Source organism: Homo sapiens, chromosome 12 (genome assembly GCF_000001405.40).
Source record: "Homo sapiens chromosome 12, GRCh38.p14 Primary Assembly".
NCBI classification, from domain to species: Eukaryota; Metazoa; Chordata; class Mammalia; order Primates; family Hominidae; genus Homo; species Homo sapiens.
Window position 1 is genome coordinate 86753339 of NC_000012.12, and position 24006 is coordinate 86777344.

At 35.8% G+C, this 24006-nt stretch overlaps 1 protein-coding gene across 3 annotated transcripts in view, besides 2 other annotated features; it reads right to left on the reverse strand.

Moving 5' to 3' along the window:
- MGAT4C (MGAT4 family member C) overlaps positions 1 to 24006 on the reverse strand; it is an 883334-nt gene that overhangs the window by 797672 nt on the left and 61656 nt on the right. The window lies entirely within an intron of this gene.
- Positions 10520 to 11021: an enhancer, noted in NCBI's record as "NANOG-H3K4me1 hESC enhancer chr12:87157635-87158136 (GRCh37/hg19 assembly coordinates)". NCBI's record gives its function as "activates a minimal SCP1, AML or CMV promoter by ChIP-STARR-seq in naive and primed H9 embryonic stem cells {active_cell/tissue: H9 hESC(naive and primed)}" and the evidence as "EXISTENCE:reporter gene assay evidence [ECO:0000049][PMID:30033119]".
- Positions 11022 to 11521: an enhancer, noted in NCBI's record as "NANOG-H3K4me1 hESC enhancer chr12:87158137-87158636 (GRCh37/hg19 assembly coordinates)". NCBI's record gives its function as "activates a minimal SCP1, AML or CMV promoter by ChIP-STARR-seq in naive and primed H9 embryonic stem cells {active_cell/tissue: H9 hESC(naive and primed)}" and the evidence as "EXISTENCE:reporter gene assay evidence [ECO:0000049][PMID:30033119]".

The window sequence follows — 24006 nt, forward strand, 5'->3', positions numbered from 1 at the left end:
GCAATTAATTTGGCTCATCCCTTCATTTCCCTTAAGGGATACTTTTAGTTAATTTAATATCTATAGAAACAATGCTAATGACTGCTTTGCTGTTAATAAATATGTGGGTAAATCTCTGTTTGGGGCTGTCAGCTCTGAAGGCTGTAAGACCCCTGATTTCCCACTTCACACCTCTGTATTTCTGTGTGTGTGTCTTTAATTCCTCTAGCACCACTGGGTTAGGGTCACCAGCCCGAGATGGTCTCGGCAGTCACGCAATGGGAGACTATTTCAAAGCATACATCTGAAAAAGGACTTGTAAAATATATACATATAAAGGACTTTCAAACTTCAATATTAAAAAAAACCTCAATTTAAAAGGTAGGCAAATGGTTTGAACACTTTACAAAAAGATATGAATAGAAAATAGGTGGATGAAAAGATGCTTGATATCATCAGTCATTAAGAAAATGCAAATTAAACCACAGAGAGAAAGTACTATAAATTTAGACTGCCTAAGATTTAAAAAGATTGACCATACTAAGTGTTGAAAAGAATGTGAAGCAACTGGACCACTCATATACTGTTGGTGTGGATGTAAAAATCACACAACTTTGGAGAATAATTTGACAGTTTTAAAAAAATGTAAACAAATAAGTACTACTCCTAAATATTTACCTGAGGGCACTGAAAGCATATTTATATAGAGAGACTTGTATGTAAGCATTCGTAGTAGCTCTACTTATAATAGCCCTGAACCAAAACAACCAAAATATCCATTAGCAGATGAAAGAATACATAATTTGTGATATTTCCATGCAATGGAATTTGACTCCTCAGTAAAATATAATGGATCCTTGTTATATGCAATAGCATAAACAAATCTCAAAATAATTGTATTGAATAAAAGAAGACAGATCAAAAGAGAATGTACTTGATAATGTCATATAAAAATTCTACAAAAGGCAAACTGATCTTTAGACAAACAGCAGCTAAGTGGTTGCTAGCAAGCAGGAGTGAAGGGAGGGAAGGATTGCATAGGGGCATTACAAATGGGGTGAGATGCATATTCATTATCTTGATTGTGATGTTAGTTTTATGGGTGTATACATATGGCAAAACTAATCAAATTGTAGACTTTAAATATGTGTAGCAATATTATAGTTCAATTATATCTCAATAAAGCTGTTTAAAAGATGAATGCACACAATCAGAATGGCAATTTTGTAAAGGGACATGAAAAATAAAACTGCCACATGGATTGCAGCCTGAGAAGAGATATTTTTCCCTGAAAATAGTCTATTTAGGAAACCAAATAACTATATTTATTGTAGAGTAAGAAGTTAGAACAAGAAAAGATAGACAAATTGACTGTATAATGGAATTAGGCTATATATTCCCAATATATCCATCTCTGTTTTAGGACAGACTTCCACAGATAATTAAAAATTAGTGATGTTTTGATCAAACTTTCTGTCCCCTGGACAGAGCTGAGAAGAGTTTTGTCAATATTTTCCTCTGTTACTCACCTTCTTTGCTTCCATGATGGTCTGAAACATAATGGTCATTTTTTTTCCTTTACCTATGTTAACGTATTCAATCAGACTTTAGTTTTTAATTCATGGTGAGTCTCTCAAATAATTTCTTCACAACACAATGATGACTAGTTATATATATATATATCAACCTGGGTTAGGCTATAGTAGTCAATAATGTAATAAAATACTAATCTGTATGTTGCTGTGAAGGCATTGTGCAGATGTGGCTAAAACCTACAATCAGTTGACTTTAACATGGTTTTAGTAGAGCAGATTACTTTCAATAATGTGGATGGCCTCATGCAATCACTGAAAGCCTGAAGAGTAAATATGGGTTTTCTAGACAAATAATTTTGCCTCAAATCTATAACATCATTCCTGCATGAGTTTTCTGCTGAATGGCTTGCCTCACAAATTTTGGAGTTGTTAGCCCCACAACCATATGAGCCACCTCCTTACAATAAATATTGTAATATGTCTATATCTACATCAACATTTCTATACATCTGTATTACACTGATTATGGTTTTCTGGAGAATTCTGACTGATAACATTAGTAATATAATATGCACTGATTTCATAGATTTACTATGCAGAGGAATATCTTTCCTGATTTCCTGAACTGTGGCACTCTAATTTTCTCACCCCAGTGCTAATAAGATCTTAATTAACACATAGTGAATTATTTTTTCTTTTCTTTTCTCTTTTTCTTTCTTTCTTTTTTTTTCTTTTCTTTCTCTCTTTCTCTCTCTCTCTTTCTTTCTCTCTCTCCTTCCTTCCTTCCTTCTTTCCTACCTTCCTTTCTTTTCTTTTCAGGGTCTCACTCTGGTTACCCAGGCTGGAGTGCAATAGTGCCATCACTGGTCACTACAGCCTCAACCTCCCCAGCTCAGGTGACTCTCCAGCCACAGCCTCTGAGTAGCTGGGACTAAGTGCATGTGCCACCATGCCCTGCTAGTTTTTTGTAGTTTTTGTAGAGATGGAGTTTCATCATGTTGCCCAGTCTAGTCACAAACTCCTGGACTCAAGCAATTGGCCAGCTTTGGGCTCCTAAAATGTTGGAGTTACAGATGTGAGTCACCACACCAGGTCTAGTAAACTATTTTCATGATTATTTTAAGATAATCATAATCATTAATATTTTAAAATATATATATAATTTTTAAAGTTTTTTAAATGTTTTATTTCATCTTATCTGAAAATACATGTATTAGTCAGTTTGGGTTGCCATAACAAAATACCATAGGCTGGGCAGTTTAAACACAGAAATTTATTTCTCACAGTTCCAGAGCCCAGAAGTGAAAGATCAAGGCTGGCCATTGTTTCAAAGTGTTCTTGTTGAAGCTTATGAATAGCCACCTTTTTTCTGTGTGTTCAAAAGGTTTTTCCTTGGTGAGTTCATACAGAGAGAGAGCAGGATAAAGTTCTCTGGTATCTCTTCTTATAAAGGAACTGATCCCATCATGTGAGTCCCGCCTACACAACCTCATCTAACCATGGTTACCAACCAAAGGCCTCTGTCTTCTAATATCACAACCTGGTGAATTAGGCCTGCAACATACGATTTTTTTTTTTGAGTTGGGGGCATAATTCAATCCACAGAGATATGCTCCCCTCTAAATAACACTAATAACTGATTTTCCTAGGAATTCTACATTTCTTAAAATAGTCTTGCATATTTTGTCTCATTTGATTTTAACGGCCACTCTATCAAGTATAAACTGAATAGCATATCACTATATTTCATAGGAGGGAAATAAACTAAAACTAAAAAAGTTAAATGACTTCCCCAGCACAACTGTAATAACAGATACAAGAACTATTTCTTTCTAAGTTGTTGCACTATTCTTATTTCGCCACACCACATTCCCTAAAAACATCTTCAAATCCATAAAATGATGATATAGCTGTATGGAGTACAGAGTATAAAGGCAGGTGCAATATAAGGTCCTTGGTTCTGGCATGTCTACTGACTTTGCCCTCAAAACCCTGAAAGATAACTTCCTAAATCTAAGCAGCAGCTAGGTTTCCAATGGGAAAAAACATTACTTTGCTTCAAATGTATAACAAAATCATAATAAGCCTTTCTCAAATCAAATTAAATTACATTAAAATTGTTGCTGTTTATTTAAAAGTTATAATTATACTATATCTTTAAAATTCTATATAAATTACAGCCATAAAAAACTGATGAGTTCAGGTCCTTTGCAGGGACATGGATGAAGCTGGAAACCATCATTCTCAGCAAACTATCATAAGAACAGAAAACCAAACACTGCATGTTCTCACTCATAAGTGGGAGTAGAACAACGAGAACACATGGACACAGGGAGGGGAACATCACACACCGGGGCCTGTTGGGGGTTGGGGGGCTAGGGGAGGGATGACATTAGGAGAAAGACCTAATGTAGGTGACAGGTTGATGGGTGCAGCAAACCATCATGCCACGTGTATACCTATGTAACAAAACTGCACGTTCTGCATATGTACCCCAGAACTGAAAGTATAAAACAAAAAATTCTATATAAATTACTATATTAAAAAATAGCCAAAAACTTACTTTGTGCATTGCATTAAATAGCCTATGTTTTTTTCACCTGAAGTAAAGACAATACTGTAAAGCAGAGATGCGTGTGTGTAAATGCTGGGGTCTGGATTTGTATTCACTTCATCCATTTCTCCCTGAGATATCCCCATGGAAAGCTTAGTCTTTTCATGCTACCAGAGTGATTTGAAAATGTTTGTTCCAGGTGATACCTGCATAGAGTTTAATATTTTCAATATGTGGATTTTTGTTCTTCTTAGAATAGATATTTATGCTTAAAAATGTAAAGGGTTGTCACAATGGGACTGTATGCCTACCACAGTAGAGACAGCTCCCAACAATACAGTAGAAACCCTAGATTTGTGCCTTCCCACTGACTTTGACCTCAAGGCACTGAAAGATAACCATTTTGTCTAACAGTAAGTAGTAATTCAGTTTCCAGTTCAGCTAAAACCATAGCCTCACCTCAATTTTAACAGTTGAAATTCTTATGTCCTCTCTGGGTCACATCTGGTCACTTTTAAAACCTCTTAAATTCAGTTACCATGGAACCAATGGATATCACATATAGTATCCTGAGGGTGAGCTGAAAAAGTAAGTCAGAAAATGCCTTTCTCTAATAGCTTCTTTTCAAAATTTTCCAAAGAACATATTATATTGAGCACAATCCATGGGACACTTTACATTTTTCTGATGATAGGTGACAGCTGTTGATTGAGATCTTACATCATGAGCTTCTACTGAAACTCAACAAACTGCATTTCAATTACCCAAAGTTTCTTTGGCCTTACACTGGTGTCACAAAAATAAATTGCTATAAAACTTTGCAATCATATACCACTAAAGGTTTTACTAGACCAAGTTGGCAGGTTATCACAGAAGCACATATTTGGATAAAGATGAATCAAAGGAATTTTGATAAGCTGCAAAATGTTAGAAAATAAAGCTAGGGAACATATTTTTATGTCCGAATCCTTTTTTTTTTTTTTTAAAAAAAAGAAACTAACATTAATTAGTATTTACTTAGCACAATTCTTAGGTATAATTCTTATTACTGCATGTTTTTATTAACTCATTAAGTCGTTGCCTAACTTTTTGAGAAAGATACATGTATTAACTTTCTCTTCCCTTTATAGATAAGAAAACTAAGGCACAAAACACTTAGTAAATTTCTTATATTATTCAGATAAGTGCCAAAATCAAAATTCAAACACAGTCACTCTGGCTTCATAGGTTTCTGCATGTAAGTATATTCATATTCAAATGAATATAGTGAGTCATGAACAAAAAAGTTGAATTATATTAAAATTTATATATGGTGGTTATTTTGTTATGCAAAATTGGTATCTCTAAGGAACACCTCACAAACTTCCACAAACACAAATATGGAGTAAAACATGCTGTTTTGATACACGGATGCATTGTGTAATGATCGAATTGGGGCAATTAGAGTATTCATCAACTTGAACGTTTGTCATTTATTTATATGAGAATATTAAAAACCTCTCTTCTGCCTGTTTTGAAATATATACTGCATTACTGTTAACTCTACTCATCCTACTATTCAGTAGAACATCATGGCCTATTCTTCCTACCTAACTGTAGCTTTGCACTTGTTGACAATCTCTCATCATCCTCCCTCCCCGCTCTGTTCCCTACCTCTGGTAACCACTGTTATTTTGCCTACTTCTATGAGAACAACTTTTAGATTCTACATATGAGTAAGATCATGTGGTATTTGTCTTTCTGTGCCTAGCTTATTTAATTTAACATAAATGGCCCTCAGCTTCATTCATGATGCTGCAACTGTCATAATTTCATTATTTTTATGGCTGAATAGTATTCCATTGTGTATATATACCATGGTGTTTTTTATCCACTCATTTGTGGAGGAACATCCAGGTTGTTTCCTATTTGGCTGTTGTGAATAGTGCTGCAACAAAGACAGGAGTGCAGCCATCTCTTCAACACACTGATTTTATTTCCTTTGGATATATATCAAATTGTATGATTGCTGGATCACACTGTAGTTCTACTTTTAATTATCTGAGGAACCTCCTTACTGTTTTTCAGAATAGGTGTACTAATTTAGGTTACCACAAGAAGTACATAAAGTTCCCTTTTCTCCACATCCTTACTAACACTTGCTATCTTTTATTTTTGAATAGTAGCTATTATTACTGGAGTAAGGTTATATCTCATTTTAATTTGATTTGCATTCCCCTGATGATTAGTGATGTTGAGCATGTTTTCCTATACCTGTTGGCCATGTGTATTTCTTCTTCAGAGAAATGTCTATTCAGGTATTTTGCTCATTAAGAAACAGGTTTTTTTGTATGTGTGTTGCTGTTGAATTATTTGACTTCCTTATATATTGAATGTTAATATTTTATCAAATGTAGAGTTTGCAAATAAATATATTCTCTCATTGTGTAGGTTGCCTCTTTTCTCTGTTGATTATTTCCTTTGATTTTTAAAATGTTTCAGTTTTATGGAATCTCATATGTGAATATTTACTTTTGTTTGCTGGAATTCAATGGAAGCACAAAAGACCCCAAATAGCCAAAACAATTTTGAGCAAAAATAACAAAACTGATGTTACCACATCACCTATCTTCAAAACATGCTACAAAGTCATAATGATGAAAACAGCATGGTACTGGAATAAAAACAGATACATAGACTAGGAGTAATATAAAGCCCACAAATAAACCCACACATCTACAGTCAATCAATTTTGACAAAGGTACCAAGCACTCACAGTGGGGAAAAGACAGCCTCTTCAAAAAACGGTGCTGGGAAAACTGTATATACACAGCAGAAGAATGAAAGTAGACCCTTATCTCTCACCATATGCAAAAAAATAACTCAGAATGGATTAAAGACCTCAATGTAAGTCTTAAAACTATCAAATCACTAGAAAAAACTAGAAGAAAGCTCCATGACACTGACTTAGGCACGGATTTTTGTTTTTGTTTTTGTTTTTGTTTTTTTTTGGATAAGTAGCTTTTCCAAGTAGCAAACACCAAATGTAAAATGAGTGATTCAAATTCAATGAGAATGCAGAACTGTTACAGGCTTCCACTTCATTCAAGATGGAGTAAAAAATGATCTTATTGCCTGAAACAACCTAAGAAAAGAACAAACAAACAAAAAATGTATACACAATATGCAATGAAACAGCTTTAGGGACACCGGGCAAGAAAGGATAGTGATCCCAGAGAAATAAGAAACAATATGGTGAGTTCCACAATGTTCCAGCTCACTGCCTTAGTAGAATGTCCAGGGCATAGAAAAGAAAAGGGGAATTCAATTGAAGTTCCAAAAATGCCCTTAGTTAAAAAGACTTTGCTGAGAGTACTCTCAGCTCAGGGGAGAGAACTGCATCTACAACAACACAAATGAATCTCAAAGTAATTATGTGGAATGAAAGAAGCCAGATAAAAAGTGTATGTGGTGTATAATTCCACTTGTATAAAACTAGAAAATGCAAACTCATTTGTACTGATAACATATCAGTGATCACATTGTGGCAAGATTTGTAGGAAGAGATAACTCAAAGATACAAGGTAACTTTTGGAGGTGATGGGTATGTTCACTATCTTAATTTTGTTCAGTTTCACAGGTGTATAAATGTGCCAAAACATATATTGTACATTTGAAATATGTATATTTTATAGAATTCAATTATACCTCAACAAAACTAAGAAATTGCTGATTTGGGCATAATGTTTTGGAAAGTTGAGTTTTGTGGTTGGCCTCCATGGAATGATGGCACTTAGTAAAAAAAATGAAATAAAAGGCCAGCCTTTCTTTGATGAATACTCTAAATACCAGGGAAGTAAGCTAAGGGTTTTGGGAGGACTGTAACTTGATGCCTTTGGCTTGAATATTGGTTAATTTGGGTCATTGTGAGAGTACTGAGGTAGTTTGAGGCTAAATATTATTATGGGTTAAGTGTAATTATTTACAAAGACATTGTATTTTTTCCTATTGCCACAAAAGTAGTGGAATAATACAATGCAAATTTATTATTTTGTGGTTTCCATAGATCTGGAGCCCAGGTATGGATGTATTAATTTCCTATTACCACTGTAACAAATAACCACAAACTTAGTTGCTTAAAACAACACAAATCTATCCTCTTATATTTCTGGAGATCAGAAGTCTAAAATCAGTTTTATTAAGTTGAGTTAAAGATATCAGGAGTCAAGCTGGTCAGGAGAAGGCTGGTTCCTTTCGGATGCTCTCATGGGAGAATTAATTTTCTTGACTTTTTAGTGGTAACTTCTAGTGGCCACCTGTATTCCTTGGCTTGTGGCTACTTCCTCCATTTTTAGAGTGCATCCCTCCAACCTCTGCTTCCATCTTCATATTGATGGCTATTCTCTTGAACTTTTTGCTTCTCTTTCTTAAGGACCTTTGTGATAGAATCTAGTGCCCCACAAAATAATTCAAAATAATATATCTTCCTAAAATTCTTAAAATACCTCTGCAAAGTCTCTGTGGCATATAGAATAATATTCATAGTTTCTTGGGATTAGGACATGTTATCTTTGTCAGGGGGGCATTATTTAGCCTGCCACAATGGGTTAGCTGAGTCCTCTGCTCAGGGTCTTAACAGGCTGAAATAATGGTGAGGGATAGGCTGCACTTTTTTTTTTTTTCTTAGACAGGGTCTTGCTTTGTTGCCCAGGCTGGAGTGCAGTGGCATGATCATGGCTCACTGCAGTCTTAACCCCCTGGACTTAAGCATTCCTCCCACTTCAGCCTCCCTAGTAGCTGGGACTGCAGGTATAAGCCACCACACCTGCTAATTTTTGTATTTTTTGTAGACATGGGGTTTCACTATGTTTCCCAGGCTTGTCTCATACTCCTGAACTCAAGCAATCTGCTAGCCTCAGCCTCCCAAAACTCTGGGATTACAGGAGTGAGCCACCCTGCCTGGCCCTAAGGCTACACTCTTATATGGGGCTTAGGGTCCTTTTCCAAACTCATTCATGTAGTTGACAGAATTAAGACTATGCAACTGAGGTCTCATTTCTTACTGGCTGTGGGGTGAGAAAGCCACTGTTCATTGTTAGAAGCTGTCTTCAGGACCAGGTAATATGGCTCTCTCACATAGCCACTCAAACTTTCAGACCAACAAGGGACAATTTCTCGCATCATTATGCTGGTATCTTAAATAACCTTAATTCTGTGTCCCTCAGCATTTTCCCCTGGTTAAGTAAGCAATGAAAAACCCATTGAATATTTTCATTACATGTTTTAAGAAAAAGCAGAAGCCCTTTGAATATATTTTTGACATTTCAAAACATTTTGTCCTATTTTAAAGGCTCTACTTATCACTTGTTAACAAATAATAAACACATTTTGAAAGTAGAGAAACATGTCATCATAAAGCAGTAGCAGGTTCAAAACAGACAAATAAAAGAGCCATATTGATGATGCTCAATGCTCCATTCTGCCATTTTCAAATGAAAAGCAAATACAAGAAACTCTAGTCTACAGGTGTTCAATATAAATCAGATATCACGTTATGACACATGTTTCTGTTCTCCATGGGATTTATGCTTCTTCAAGACATTTTGTTACAAAATGTACCTTATTGCATTTTCTGATATTTTGAGAAGGAACAAAATCTAACACAATAAGCATATCTTAGGGCTTTGTCACTGGTGTAGAAAGAACATAATGAAGTACAAGTTCATGTTCCTGTTTTATTTTACTTGAAATCATAAAGAGAAATTATCAAGAGAAAAATGTTAAGTGTGACTCAAAACAAATTGTATGTAAGTGACAAGCGGAATGGCAAAAGTGTGAATTATCTCTCTGGCTTATAAACAAAATTATGAATCTATTCTGCTATTCCTAATTCATTTTGCCTTTACAAGGGTATATTGAAAACTAGGTAGGGTAAAACTTCCCCCACTTTACTCCTTTCAGGTCTGCATTCATATGCAGTATTTTTTTTCATGTTACTGCAACCGTACCTAAACCTATGTATACTGTGGAATACAGTGCTCATTTGATATCATATTAATGTGTTTCACTGGATTTTAATTAGTTTTCTTCATTTATATTATGTACTCAATTTATAAACAACTAGAAAGCAGAAATCATTTTATACATCTTTGTATCACCAATGTCCATATCTATGCTTTGAATACTATACAAAAATAATTCATAATGATTCTGTAGACAATTTCAATAAAACCAATTACAATATTGCACATTATTTTGAGCATTTTGTAATCTTTGGATTAATTTTTTATTGGTATAGGGACAAACATACACAACTGAACTCAATAACACACACACAAATGTGTGTGTGTTGTATATGGTATAACTGCAGAATTCCTGACACATAATAGTTGTTCTATAATTGGTAGTTAAAATTACACTTATAGATCATTTCACCTAGGATTTAGCTAAGCTCTCTATACCTAGAATACAGTTAAGAATGACATTATTAGAGGGCAGCCAAGACGGCCGAATAGGAACAGCTCCTGTCTACAGCTCCCAGCATGAGCAACGCAGAAGACGGGTGATTTCTGCATTTCCATCTGAGGTACCGGGTTCATATCACTAGGGAGTGCCAGACAGTTGGTGCGGGGCAGTGGGTGGGTGCACCGTGCATGAGCCGAAGCAGGGTGAGGCATTGCCTCACTCCAGAAGCGCAAGGGGTCAGGGAGTTCCCTTTCCTAGTCAAAGAAAGGGGTGACAGATGGCACCTGGAAAATCAGGTCATTCCCACCCGAATACTGTGCTTTTCTGAGAGGCTTAAAAAACGGTGCACCAGGAGATTATATCCCGCACCTGGCTTGGAGGGTCCTATGCCCACGGAGTCTCGCTGATTGCTAGCACAGCAGTCTGAGATCAAACTGCAAGGCGGCAGCGAGGCTGGGGGAGGGGTGCCCGCCATTGCCCAGGCTTGATTAGGTAAACAAAGCAGCTGGGAAGCTCGAACTGGGTGGAGCCCACCACAGCTCAAGGAGGCCTGCCGGCCTCTGTAGGCTCCACCTCTGGGGGCAGGGCACAGACAAACAAAAAGACAGCAGTAACCTCTGCAGACTTAAATGTCCCTGTCTGACAGCTTTGAAGAGAGCAGTGGTTCTCCCAGCACGCAGCTGGAGATCTGAGAACGGGCAGACTGCCTCCTCAAGTGGGTCCCTGACCCCTGACCCCTGAGCAGCCTAACTGGGAGGCACCCCCCAGTAGGGGCAGACTGACACCTCACACGGCCGGGTACTCCTCTGAGACAAAACTTCCAGAGGAACAATCAGACAGCAGCATTCGCAGTTCAGGAAAATCCGCTGTTCTGCAGCCACCACTGCTGATACCCAGGCAAACAGGGTCTGGAGTGGACCTCTAGCAAACTCCAACAGACATGCAGCTGACGGTCCTGTCTGTTAGAAGGAAAACTAACAAACAGAAAGGACATCCACACCAAAAACCCATCTGTACATCACCATCATCAAAGACCAAAAGTAGATAAAACCACAAAGATGGGGAAAAAACAGAGCAGAAAAACTGGAAACTCTAAAAAGCAGAGCGCCTCTCCTACTCCAAAGGAACGCAGTTCCTCACCAGCAATGGAACAAAGCTGGACGGAGAATGACTTTGACAAGTTGAGAGAAGAAGGCTTCAGATGATCAAACTACTCTGAGCTACAGGAAGAAATTCAAACCAAAGGCAAAGAAGTTAAAAACTTTAAAAAAAAATTAGACGAATGTATAACTAGAATAACCAATACAGAGAAGTGCTTAAAGGAGCTGATGGAGCTGAAAGCCAAGGCTCGAGAACTACGTGAAGAATGCAGAAGCCTCAGGAGCTAATGCAATCAACTGGAAGAAAGGGTACCAGTGATGTAAGATCAAATGAATGAAATGAAGCAAGAAGGGAAGTGTAGAGAAAAAAGAATAAAAAGAAATGAACAAAGCCTCCAAGAAATATGGGACTATGTGAAAAGACCAAATCTACGTCTGATTTGTGTACCTGAAAGTGACGGGTAGAATGGAACCAAGTTGGAAAACACTCTGCAGGATATTATCCAGGAGAAATTCCCCAATCCAGCAAGGCAGGCCAACATTCAGAATCAGGAAATATAGAGAACGCCACAAAGATACCCCTTGAGAAGAGCAACTCCAAGACACATAATTGTCAGATTCACCAAAGTTGAAATGAAGGAAAAAATGTAAAGGGCAGCCAGAGAGAAAGGTCGGGTTACCCACAAAGAGAAGCCCATCAGACTAACAGCGGATCTCTCGGCAGAAACTCTACAAGCCAGAAGAGAGTGGGGGCCAATATTCAACATTCTTAAAGAAAAGAATATTCAACCCAGAATTTCATATCCAGCCAAACTAAGCTTCATAAGTGAAGGAGAAATAAAATACTTTACAGACAAGCAAATGCTGAGAGATTTTTGTCACCACCAGGCCTGCCCTAAAAGAGCTCCTGAAGGAAGCAATAAACATGGAAAGGAACAACTGGTACCAGCTGCTGCAAAATCATGCCAAAATGTAAAGACCATCAAGACTAGGAAGAAACTGCATCAACTAATGAGTAAAATAACCAGCTAACATCATAATGACAGGATCAAATTCACACATAACAATATTAACCTTAAATGTAAATGGACTAAATGCTCCAATTAAAAGACACAGACTGGCAAATTGGATAAAGAGTCAAAACCCATCAGTGTGCTGTATTCAGGAAACCCATCTCACGTGCAGAGACACACATAGGCTCAAAATAAAAGGATGGAGGAAGATCAACCAAGCAAATGGAAAACAAAAAAAGGCAGGGGTTGCAATCCTAGTCTCTGATAAAACAGACTTTAAACCAACAAAGATCAAAAGAGACAAAGAAGGCCATTACATAATGGTAAAGGGATCAATTCAATAAGAAGAGCTAACTATCCTAAATATATATGCACCCAATACAGGAGCACCCAGATTCATAAAGCAAGTCCTGAGTGACTTACAAAGAGACTTAGACTCCCATACATTAATAATGGGAGACTTTAACACCCCACTGTCAACATTAGAAAGATCAACGAGACAGAAAGTTAACAAGGATACCCGGGAATTGAACTCAGCTCTGCACCAAGCAGACCTAATAGACATCTACAGAACTCTCCACCCCAAATAAACAGAATATACATTTTTTTCAGCACCACACCACACCTATTCCACAATTGACCACATAGTTGGAAGTAAAGCTCTCCTCAGCAAATGTAAAAGAACAGAAATTATAACAAACTATCTCTCAGACCACAGTGCAATCAAACTAGAACTCAAGATTAAGAAACTCACTCAAAACCGCTCAACTACATGGAAACTGAACAACCTGCTCCTGAATGACTACTGGGTACATAACAAAATGAAGGCAGAAATAAAGATGTTCTTTGAAACCAACGAGAACAAAGACACAACATACCAGAATCCCTGGGACACATTCAAAGCAGTGTGTAGAGGGAAATTTATAGCACTAAATGCCCACAAGAGAAAGCAGGAAAGATAGAAAATTGACACCCTAACATCACAATTAAAAGAACTAGAAAAGCAAGAGCAAACACATTCAAAAGGTAGCAGAAGGCAAGAAATAACTAAAATCAGAGCAGAAGTGAAGGAAATAAAGACACAAAAAACCCTTCAAAAAATTAATGAATCCAGAAGCTGGTTTTTTGAAAAGATCAACAAAATTGATGGACTGCTAGCAAGATTAATAAAGAAAAAAAGAAGAATCAAATAGACACAATAAAAAATGATAAAGGGGTTATCACCACTGATCCCACAGAAATACAAACTACCATCAGAGAATACTACAAACACCTCTACACAAATAAACTAGAAAATCTAGAAGAAATGGATAAATTCCTCGACACATAAACCCTCCCAAGACTAAACCAGGAAGAAGTTGAATCTCTGAATAGACCAAAACAGGCTCTGAAATTGTGGCAATAATCAATAGCTTACCAACCAAAAAGAGTCCAGGACCAGATGGATTCACAGCTGAATTCTACCAGAGAGGTACAAGGAGGAACTGGCACCATTCCTTCTGAAACTATTCCAATCAATAGAAAAAGAGGGAATCCTCCCTAACTCATTTTATGAGGCCAGCATCATCCTGATACCAAAGCTGGGCAGAGACACAACCAAAAAAGAGAATTTGAGACCAATATCCTTGATGAACACTGATGCAAAAATCCTCTATAAAATACTGGCAAACCGAATCCAGCAGCACATCAAAAAGCTTATCTACCATGATCAAGTGGGCTTCATCCCTGGGATGCAAGGCTGGTTCAATATATGAAAATCAATAAATGTAATCCAGCATATAAACAGAACCAAAGACAAAAACCACATGATTATCTCAATAGATGCAGAAAAGGCCTTTGACAAAATTCAACAACCCTTCATGCTAAAAACTCTCAGTAAATTAAGTATTGATGGGACGTATCTCAAAATAATAAGAGCTATCTATGACAAACCCACAGCCAATATCATATTGAATGGGCAAAAACTGGAAGCATTCCCTTTGAAAACTGGCACAAGACAGGGATGCCCTCTCTCACCACTCCTATTCAACATAGTGTTGGAAGTTCTGGCTAGGGCAATTAGGCAGGAGAAGGAAATAAAGAGTATTCAATTAGGAAAAGAGGAAGTCAAATTATCCCTGTTTGCAGATGACATGATTGTATATCTAGAAAACCCCATTGTCTCAGCCCAAAATCTCCTTAAGCTGATAAGCAACTTCAGCAAAGTCTCAGGATACAAAATCAATGTACAAAAATCACAAGAATTCTTATACACCAATAGCAGACAAACAGAGAGCTAAATCATGAGTGAATTCCCATTCACAATTGCTTCACAGAGAATAAAATACTTAGGAATCCAACTTACGAGGGATGTGAAGGACCTCTTCAAGGAGAACAACAAACCACTGCTCAATGAAATAAAAGAGGATACAAACAAATGGAAGAACATTCCATGCTCATGGGTAGGAAGAATCAATATCGTGAAAATGGCCATACTACCCAAGGTAATTTACAGATTCAATGCCATCCCCATCAAGCTACCAATGACTTTCTTCACAGAATTGGAAAAAACTACTTTAAAGTTCATATGGAACCAAAAAAGAGCCTGCATCGCCAAGTCAATCCTAAGCCAAAAGAACAAAGCTGGAGGCATCACGCTACCTGACTTCAAACTATACTACAAGGCTACAGTAACCAAAACAGCATGGTACTGGTACCAAAACAGAGATATAGATCAATGGAACAGAATAGAGCCCTCAGAAATAACGCCGCATATCTACAACTATCTGATCTTTGACAAACCTGAGAAAAACGAGCAATGGGGAAAGGATTCCCTATTTAATCAATGGTGCTGGGAAAACTGGCTAGCCATATGTAGAAAGCTGAAACTGGATCCCTTCCTTACACCTTATACAAAAATTAATTCAAGATGGATTAAAGACTTAAACATTAGACCTAAAACCATAAAAACCCTAGAAGAAAACCTAGGCATTACCATGCAGGACATAGGCATGGGCAAGGACTTCATGTCTAAAACACCAAAAGCAATGGCAACAAAAGACAAAATTGACAAATGGGATCTAATTAAACGAAAGAGCTTCTGCACAGCAAAAGAAACTACCATCAGAGTGAACAGGCAACCTACAAAATGGGAGAACATTTCTGCAACCTACCTATCTGACAAAGGGCTAATATCCAGAATCTACAAAGAACTCAAACAAATTTACAAGAGAAAAACAAAAAACCCCATAAAAAATTGGCCAAGGACATGAACAGACACTTCTCAAAAGAAGACATTTATGCAGCCAAAAGACACATGAAAAAATGCTCACCATCACTGGCCATCAGAGAAATGCAAATCAAAACCACAATGAGATACCATCTCACACCAGTTAGAATGGCAATCATTAAAAAGTCTGGAAACAGGTGCTGGAGAGGATGTGGAGACATAGGAACACTTTTACACTGTTGGTGGGATTGTAAACTAGTTCAACCATTGTGGAAGTCAGTGTGGCGATTCCTCAGGGATCTAGAACTAGAAATACCATTTGACCCAGCCATCCCGTTATTGGGTATATACCCAAAGGATTATAAATCATGCTGCTATAAAGACATATGCACACGTATGTTTATTGCAGCACTATTCACAATAGCAAAGACTTGGAACCAACCCAAATATCCAACAATGATAGACTGGATTAAGAAAATGTGGCACATATACACCATGGAATACTATGCAGCCATAAAAAATGATGAGTTCATGTCCTTTGTAGGGACATGGATGAAATTGGAAATCATCATTCTCAGTAAACTATCGCAAGGACAAAAAACCAAACACCGCATGTTCTCACTCATAGGTGAGAACTGAACAGTGAGAACACATGGACACAGGAAGGGGAACATCACACTCTGGGGACTGTTGTGGTGTGGAGTGGGGGAGGGATAGCATTAGGAGATATACCTAATGCTAAATGACAAGTTAATGGGTGCAGCACACCAGCATGGCACACGTATACATATGTAACTAACCTGCATATTGTGCACATGTACCCTAAAACTGAAAGTATAATAATAATAAAATAAAAAAAGAATGACATTATTAGCTTTATTCCATTAAAAATTTTATAATCAATAGATTAGTATATGATGTTAATTCTTATGATCTGATGAGGATGATTTAGCCTATATTCAGAAACAGAGACTATTTTTTTTCATAGAACGTTAGTATTCTATGAACAATTAGGTGGAAAAAGCAGTTTTAATATAAATATCCATTTATGGTGGCAACAATAGTGTAGATATGGAGCAGTGACTGTATTTATATACCTGGTCTACCAAATTTATATGAATGCAGACTTTAAACTGTTTGAAAATATATGTATTATTTATATTAATCTTTTTATTTCCCAGTGTTAGTACAATACTAGAGAGTAGTGACTACTAAATATTATCTAATCAATACCATTCTGTTGTTTGCATTTTGTTAAATAATCAAATGTTTCAAGAAACATTATATAATGGTTTCCCATGATTTCTGCTTTATATATATTTTAGGCCTCTCAAAACATATTAAATATTATACATGATCCATAGAAGTAGAATTGCAGAAGGAAGTTAAAAGACAATTTAAAAATAATTGTTGGCTGTGTTTTTGCATAGATAATGTAGTAATCATAGAAAATGGTAATGAATTTCAGATGATTCAGGAATATATGTTAAACACCATAAGCATCAACTTATGTATGAATTCTTTCAATATGAGGACCAAAGTTTTATTCTTGAATATAGTTAATAATCTTAATCTTCCCTATTTGAAATTTAGGTGTCAAATTAGAAAAAGGGAAAAAATAATAATTTTGGAATTAAGTGTATAAATTTTAAGTTGTTTTTCTAGAAATCTTTAGTTATAAGATATATTATTATAAATATGACATGAGCTTGAAGGAAGGTGGTGTGGGTTGAATTGTGTCTCCTTCCCCAAACTCATATGTTGAGTTCATAACTGTCAATACCTCAGAATGTAATTGTATTTGGAGATAGGGTCTTTACAGAGATCATTAAGTTAAAATGAGGTCATTAGGGTGAGTCCTAATTCAATATGACTGGTGTCCTTATAAGAAGAGGTAATTCAGGTACAGATCTATAGAGAGATGATATGAAGACATGGAGATAAGACAGCCATATTCAAGCTAAGGAAAGAGGCCTGGAACATATCCTTTCCTCATGGGCCTCTGAATAAACCATCCCTGTCACCACCATGATCTCAGACTCCTAGCCTACAGAATTGTACACAAATTTCTGATGTTTAAGCCACTCATTCTGAGGCACTTTGTCAAAGCAACCCTAGCCAAACTAATACAGATTTTGGTACTGAGAAGTGGGGTGCTACTATAACACACATTGAAAAATATGAAAGTGGCTTTGGAATTGGGTTTTATGTAGAGGCTGGAAGAGTTGTAAAATGTATGTTACAAAGAGTCTAGATTTCCTTGGAAAGATTGATGGTAGAAATATGGTCATTGAAGGAATCTCTGGTAAGGACTCAGAAAAAAAAAGATAGCTGTAGAAAAAGTCTCTATCCTCTTAAAAAATATATATGTCATTGTGTACAGAATGTAAGTAAGGATGGGCATGGTGGTTGATGCCTGTAATCCCAGACTTTGGGAGGCCAAGGTGGGAGGATTACTTGAAGCCAGGAGTTTGAGACCAACTTGTTTATGTAAAAAAAAGTACATAAATATATATGTGTGTGTGTGTGTGTGTGTGTGTGTGTGTGTGTGTATGTGTGTGTGTATGAATATTGGTAGAATGTTAAAGATGCTTTGGTAAGGTATTAGAGGGAAAAGAGAAACATTACTGAAACTGGAGGAAAAACGACCTTTGTTATACAGTAATGCAAAGTTTAGCCAAATTGTGTTCTAGTGTTTTGTGGAAAATAGAACTTTTATAAATTTGGATATTTAGCTGATAAGATTTGTATTTTTTATAAAAAGTATTGATAGTATTCCTTCTCCTTGTTGCTTATGGCAAAATACTAAAGGAGAGAGATAAGTGGAAGAAAGAATTGCTAAACAAAAAGGAAGCAGTATCTGAAGATATGGAAAATCCTCAGCATATCCATACTGCAAAAAATCAGAAAACCTGTTCTGGAGGAAACATCAAGGTTGTGGCTGAATGACCATTTGCTAAAGAGATTGTATGTATGGCTCATGGGTCTATTCAACCATCTCACCAGAAGCTGGGATTGAAGATGTGGTTATCCAGGAAAGATCTGTGAAGGATCCTCCTGGACTGTCCTCATGTTTGATGGCTTGGACGTCTGTGAATTGCATGGTAGGCCAGAAAAGTTTTTTGAGAATTCGATACATGCTGAAACACACCCAGCTTGTACTGAAGAAAATAAAGATGAAACAAAATAAACGGATGGAACAAAATTCTACAGGAGGGAAAAGCAGATTAATTGGCTGTGAATGTGCATTATCCCTTAATAAAAAGATTGAATGACCTTGCAGGCAGTGCAGAAGTTGGCATTTCTGCCACTACAACAGGCCCGCGAGTAGGTTTGTCTCCTCCTTGGTTCTAAATGGCAAGGCCTCCTCTAAAGTTTCAAAGGAACAGGCCATTGCCACCTAAGGCTGAGGAGATGAGGCTGCCACCCTGAGGGGGCCCAAAGAATAGGACTGCTACCATGATGGTCCAGAGGACTTAAGATTTGGCTCCAGAGCAGTCAAAGAGGATAATTTTTAAGATTTAAAATCTGATAGAATTTTCCCTACTAGCTTTTGGACTTGCTTGGAATGCATAACCTCTTTATTTCTGTTTTCTTCCTTTTGAAATTGAAACGTATATCCAATTCCTATCCCACCATTGTATTTTCAAAGAAGACAACTTGTCTGGTTTCACAAGTTCACAGCTGGAGAGTAATTTTGCCTCAGGATGAATCATACCTGGAGTCTCACCCACACGTGGATCAAATGGCATTTAAATGAGATTTGTGACTTAGAGTTGATTCTGGAATGAGTTAAGACTAGGGGCTGCTGGGATGGGGTGAATGTATTTTGCATGTGAGAAAGGCATACATTTGTGGGGGGCAGAGCATGACATGCTGTGGGCTGGGCTGAATTATTTCCCCCTTCCAATTCATATATTGCAGGCTTAATCCCTAGTACCACAGAATGTGACTATATTTGATGGTCACTTTACAGATATAATTAAGTTAAAATGAGTTACTTGGGGTAGGTCTTAATCCAACATGACTGATGTCTTAAAATGAGCTCATTAAAGTAGGACCTAGTCCACTATGACTGGTGTCCTTATTAGAAGAGTAAATGTAGACATACCAACATCTACAGAGGGAAGAGGATATGAAAACACAGGGAGAAGATAGCCACCTGTAAGCCAGGGAAAAAGCCTCCCCTTTTGGCCCTCAGAAAGAACCTACCCTGTTGACACCTTGATCTTGAACTTACAACCCTCAAAAATGTGAGAAAATAAATTTATACTTTTAAAGCCACTGGTCTGGGATACTTTGTTATGGCAACCCTAGCAAACTAATATAGAAGGCAACCAACACAAACAAACAAACCAAAAACTTCTTAATATTTTCCTACTGAGGAATTAATATTTTCCTATCTTACTATTTTCCTACTGCTGAGTAGGAAGGAAATAGAAAATTTGATATTTATAGCTACCACAAGGCATATAATTCTACTGTATAATAAATCTAATAATTTATATTCATATCTCTTAACTATTTATAAGACAAGTGATATATGTATGTGTGTGTGCATGTGTGTGTATATATTTGTACACTTTTAATTTTGAGCTCTTTCATGGAAAGGATTTTTTAAACTCTTCTTTGTAATTACATATAATGTATATTATGTAAAGCTTCCACATTGTATAAGTTTATGTAAAATACTTAAGTATAGATTATTTTACATTAATTTTATTTAACTAAAACATGTCAGTTTAACAGGTTCACATTTTTTTAAAGTAACTTCTTTTTTTTTTTTTTTTTTTTTTTTTTGAGTGGGAGTCTCACTTTGTCACCCAGGCTGGAATACACTGGCATGACCTGGGCTTACTGCGACCTCTGTCTTTTGGGTTCAAGCAATCCTCTCATCTCAGCCTCCTAAGCAGCTGGGACTACAGCTGTGCACCATCCTGCTCTGCTAATTTTTGTATTTTTAGTAAACATCGGATTTCACTATGTTGGCCAGGCTGGTCTTGAACTTCTGACCTCGAGTGATCTGTCCACCTGGCCTCCTAAAGTGCTGGGATTACAGGTGTGAGCCACCACACCCAGCTAGCCTTAAAAAGTAACTTCTAAGGCTTGCTCTTTCTTTCTTTCTTTCTTTCTTTCTTTCTTTCTTTCTTTCTTTCTTTCTTTCTTTCTGTCTCTCTCTCTCCCCTCTCTCTCTCTCTCTTTCTGTCTGTCTCTCTCTCTCTCTCCTCTCTCTCTCTCTCTCTCTCTCTCTTTCTTTCTTTCTTTTCTGTTAGCCATGCACCTAAACATAGATGAAAGGAAATCAGTTCATACGGGTATATTCGATATATTTCTTTGAAAAGTTATCTGTCTCACTGTTGGGCTTGACTGCATTCTCAAATGACTATAATTATTCTATTCTCATATTTTTCTCCTGTAGAAAAGAAATCATGTTTGCATCAGTGCAGTTTGTATATAAAATAATTCACCACATTTATCAATTTAATTCCAATTAGCTTTCCTTAACCTGTTAATATGATTCTTTATTACTATAAAAGATTTTAATTTACCATTCAAAAGGATTTTAAATATTTTAAAAAGCATTTTGAAGAAAGCAGCAATTCAAGCAGTTTCATACTTCATCTTAATAAGAGCACTAATTTAATGATTGAAAATAGAGTTGGTTCTATAATGAGGTCTCATGAGTACTTCATTACATGATAAAGTAACACACAAAGGCAACCAATTCTTGCAAATTTAAAAGAGAACTATCTGAGAGAAAAGAATCAATGTAATAGATTATCCGTAGGTCAAGTATTATTAAGCAGAAATAATTGTTTAGTGGCTAACTTTTGTAAACATACCAAAGCTTTGTCTTTTAAAAACATATACATTGCATAATAAAAAGCAACAGGCCTTTAGTAAATGGATTTTTCTATTTAGTAAAAAGAGCCATGAAATAGACATTGCAACTGATTGTTTAAAATGCTTTGCACACAGGCACAGACACAATCTCTCAGTCTCCTGTGAATTAGCAAACTGGTGAGTCACTTCTCTGTGTCTTTAACTTGGACATGTTTACAAAGTATTTACCATCCTACTGAACATAGTATAAAACTCTAAAACTTAAGATAAAGCCATGTGGATGAACATAAGCACATCCATCCATTTTTAAATTCATATATATATATTTAACATAGATAACAATGCTATGTATTATACAAGCAATGCATATATGATGTATGATCTAATATATAATTAAAATATTTATAAATAAATACATATATACTTATTTAATTATTTAAAAATTATGCTTGCTGAGTATCCAGTACAAACACAGATGCACAAAGGCATTGTCCTGGCTTGCCAGGAGGTGAAGGTCTCATGCAGATGTCAGACATATGAGCAAATAAATAAACTAAAGTTTTTATAAATGCTATCAAAATGGTATGTGAAAGTGCTACAGGTAGGAGGAAGGGGAACTTAACATTTTTGAAGGGGGTTAAAAAAAAGGTCTCACAGAAGCACTGCTATTTATTTACCACATGGATAGTAACCTTTGAAAGAAAAAGGATAATGGTGCTCAAATGCACAAACTTATCATTTGCTAGACCAAATAATTTACTATTTCTGAATCTTCACTTATTTCTATTTTTCTAAACTTTTAAAGTTTTGATTTTCTTCTTTTTTACCCTGAAATATATATATATAATATATTTGTAATTACTTGAGTCATTATCAATCATAGGATTTTATTTTTTTCCTTTATATTGCACAATAGATTTGTTTGCAAAACAATTCGAGAATAATACATAAAAATTTGACTGAACGAATAACTTATGACTTTTAAAATTTCAGAAATTTGCATATAAAATCAATGACGTTTCTGTTTATTTTATAAATACCTGAACTAAAGTGGTGAGAGTGAGAATTTGGGACTAATAATAGAATAAAATCTATAGAGCCTGATGATTGAGTAGATGTGGGAATTGGCTAAAACAAGCCAATATAAGATTAAATGTGTTTTAGCTCAGGGACCATTGATAATGGAAATACTTGCCATGGTAGGACACTTTGAAAAAGAGTCTGTTTCAGAGAGCAGAAATGGGAATGATAAAAAATAGTTTTGAATATATTGCATTTGAGTATTTATAAAACATTATATTAATTTAATGTTACTAAAACTTAAAGATGAATTAGAACACTTATAACAGTTTTTTTTTTCTTTTTGGCTTAAATTTGTATAAATGTTTCCATGTATGAGGTTAATTGTAAGTTGATATGAAGAATAAATTTAAGATATCATGTTACCCTTCAACTTTTTTATAACTTAACAGGGGAAATAAAACTTACTCAAATATAACTAAACAGCCTTTTGAGAGGATGAATACCCTACTTTCTAAGTGATCATTTAGAGCAATGTCTTTCTCAAAGTCTTGTATGGGCTGGTGGAGAATTCAAATTACTGTACTAAATAGAATTATACTTACCTTCTGATTTATGACCTTGTATGTTAAAAATCCTCAGTTTTACTATCTATAAAATATGCATAATGTTTTGCAAAATTATTGTGAGTAATAATTGGCTAAAATGTATGAAACGATCTAGTATAGTGTTTTGTACACGTTAGATTACTTCCTTCTCACACTTTGAATACATTCAAATCAAATGAGACATATAAATATCAGAATTTTTAAAGGATGATTGCTAAAATGCACCTACAAACATAAATTATTAAATGATTCAATTTTTTTGACTGGCTATTATCAATGCAACATAAAAGTATATTTAAAAATCATCTATTTGACTAATTTAAAAATATAGCCAAATAAAATTGTACCTAGTAGCTATCTAGGACTTACCCACTTCTTCGTGAAATAAATTTAGAGGCTTAACTTATCTAATTTGGCAAGACTAATATAAAAAATTCAATGGCAAATTGCCAAATCACAACAGTGTGTTATATTTAGTGATATAGCCCATTCTTTTAAATTTTTTTAATGTATTTTTTAAATCAACAGATAAAATTTTAGGTATTTATATTTCACAACATGATGTTTTGAAGTATATATTCATTGTGGAATGGCTATTAAATCCAAATACAAGCTTAACAAAATGCTGGAAGAATGATTTAATATATTTACCATGGTTACAAAATAATTTTTCTGATATATTCTGTTGAAACATGTTATGA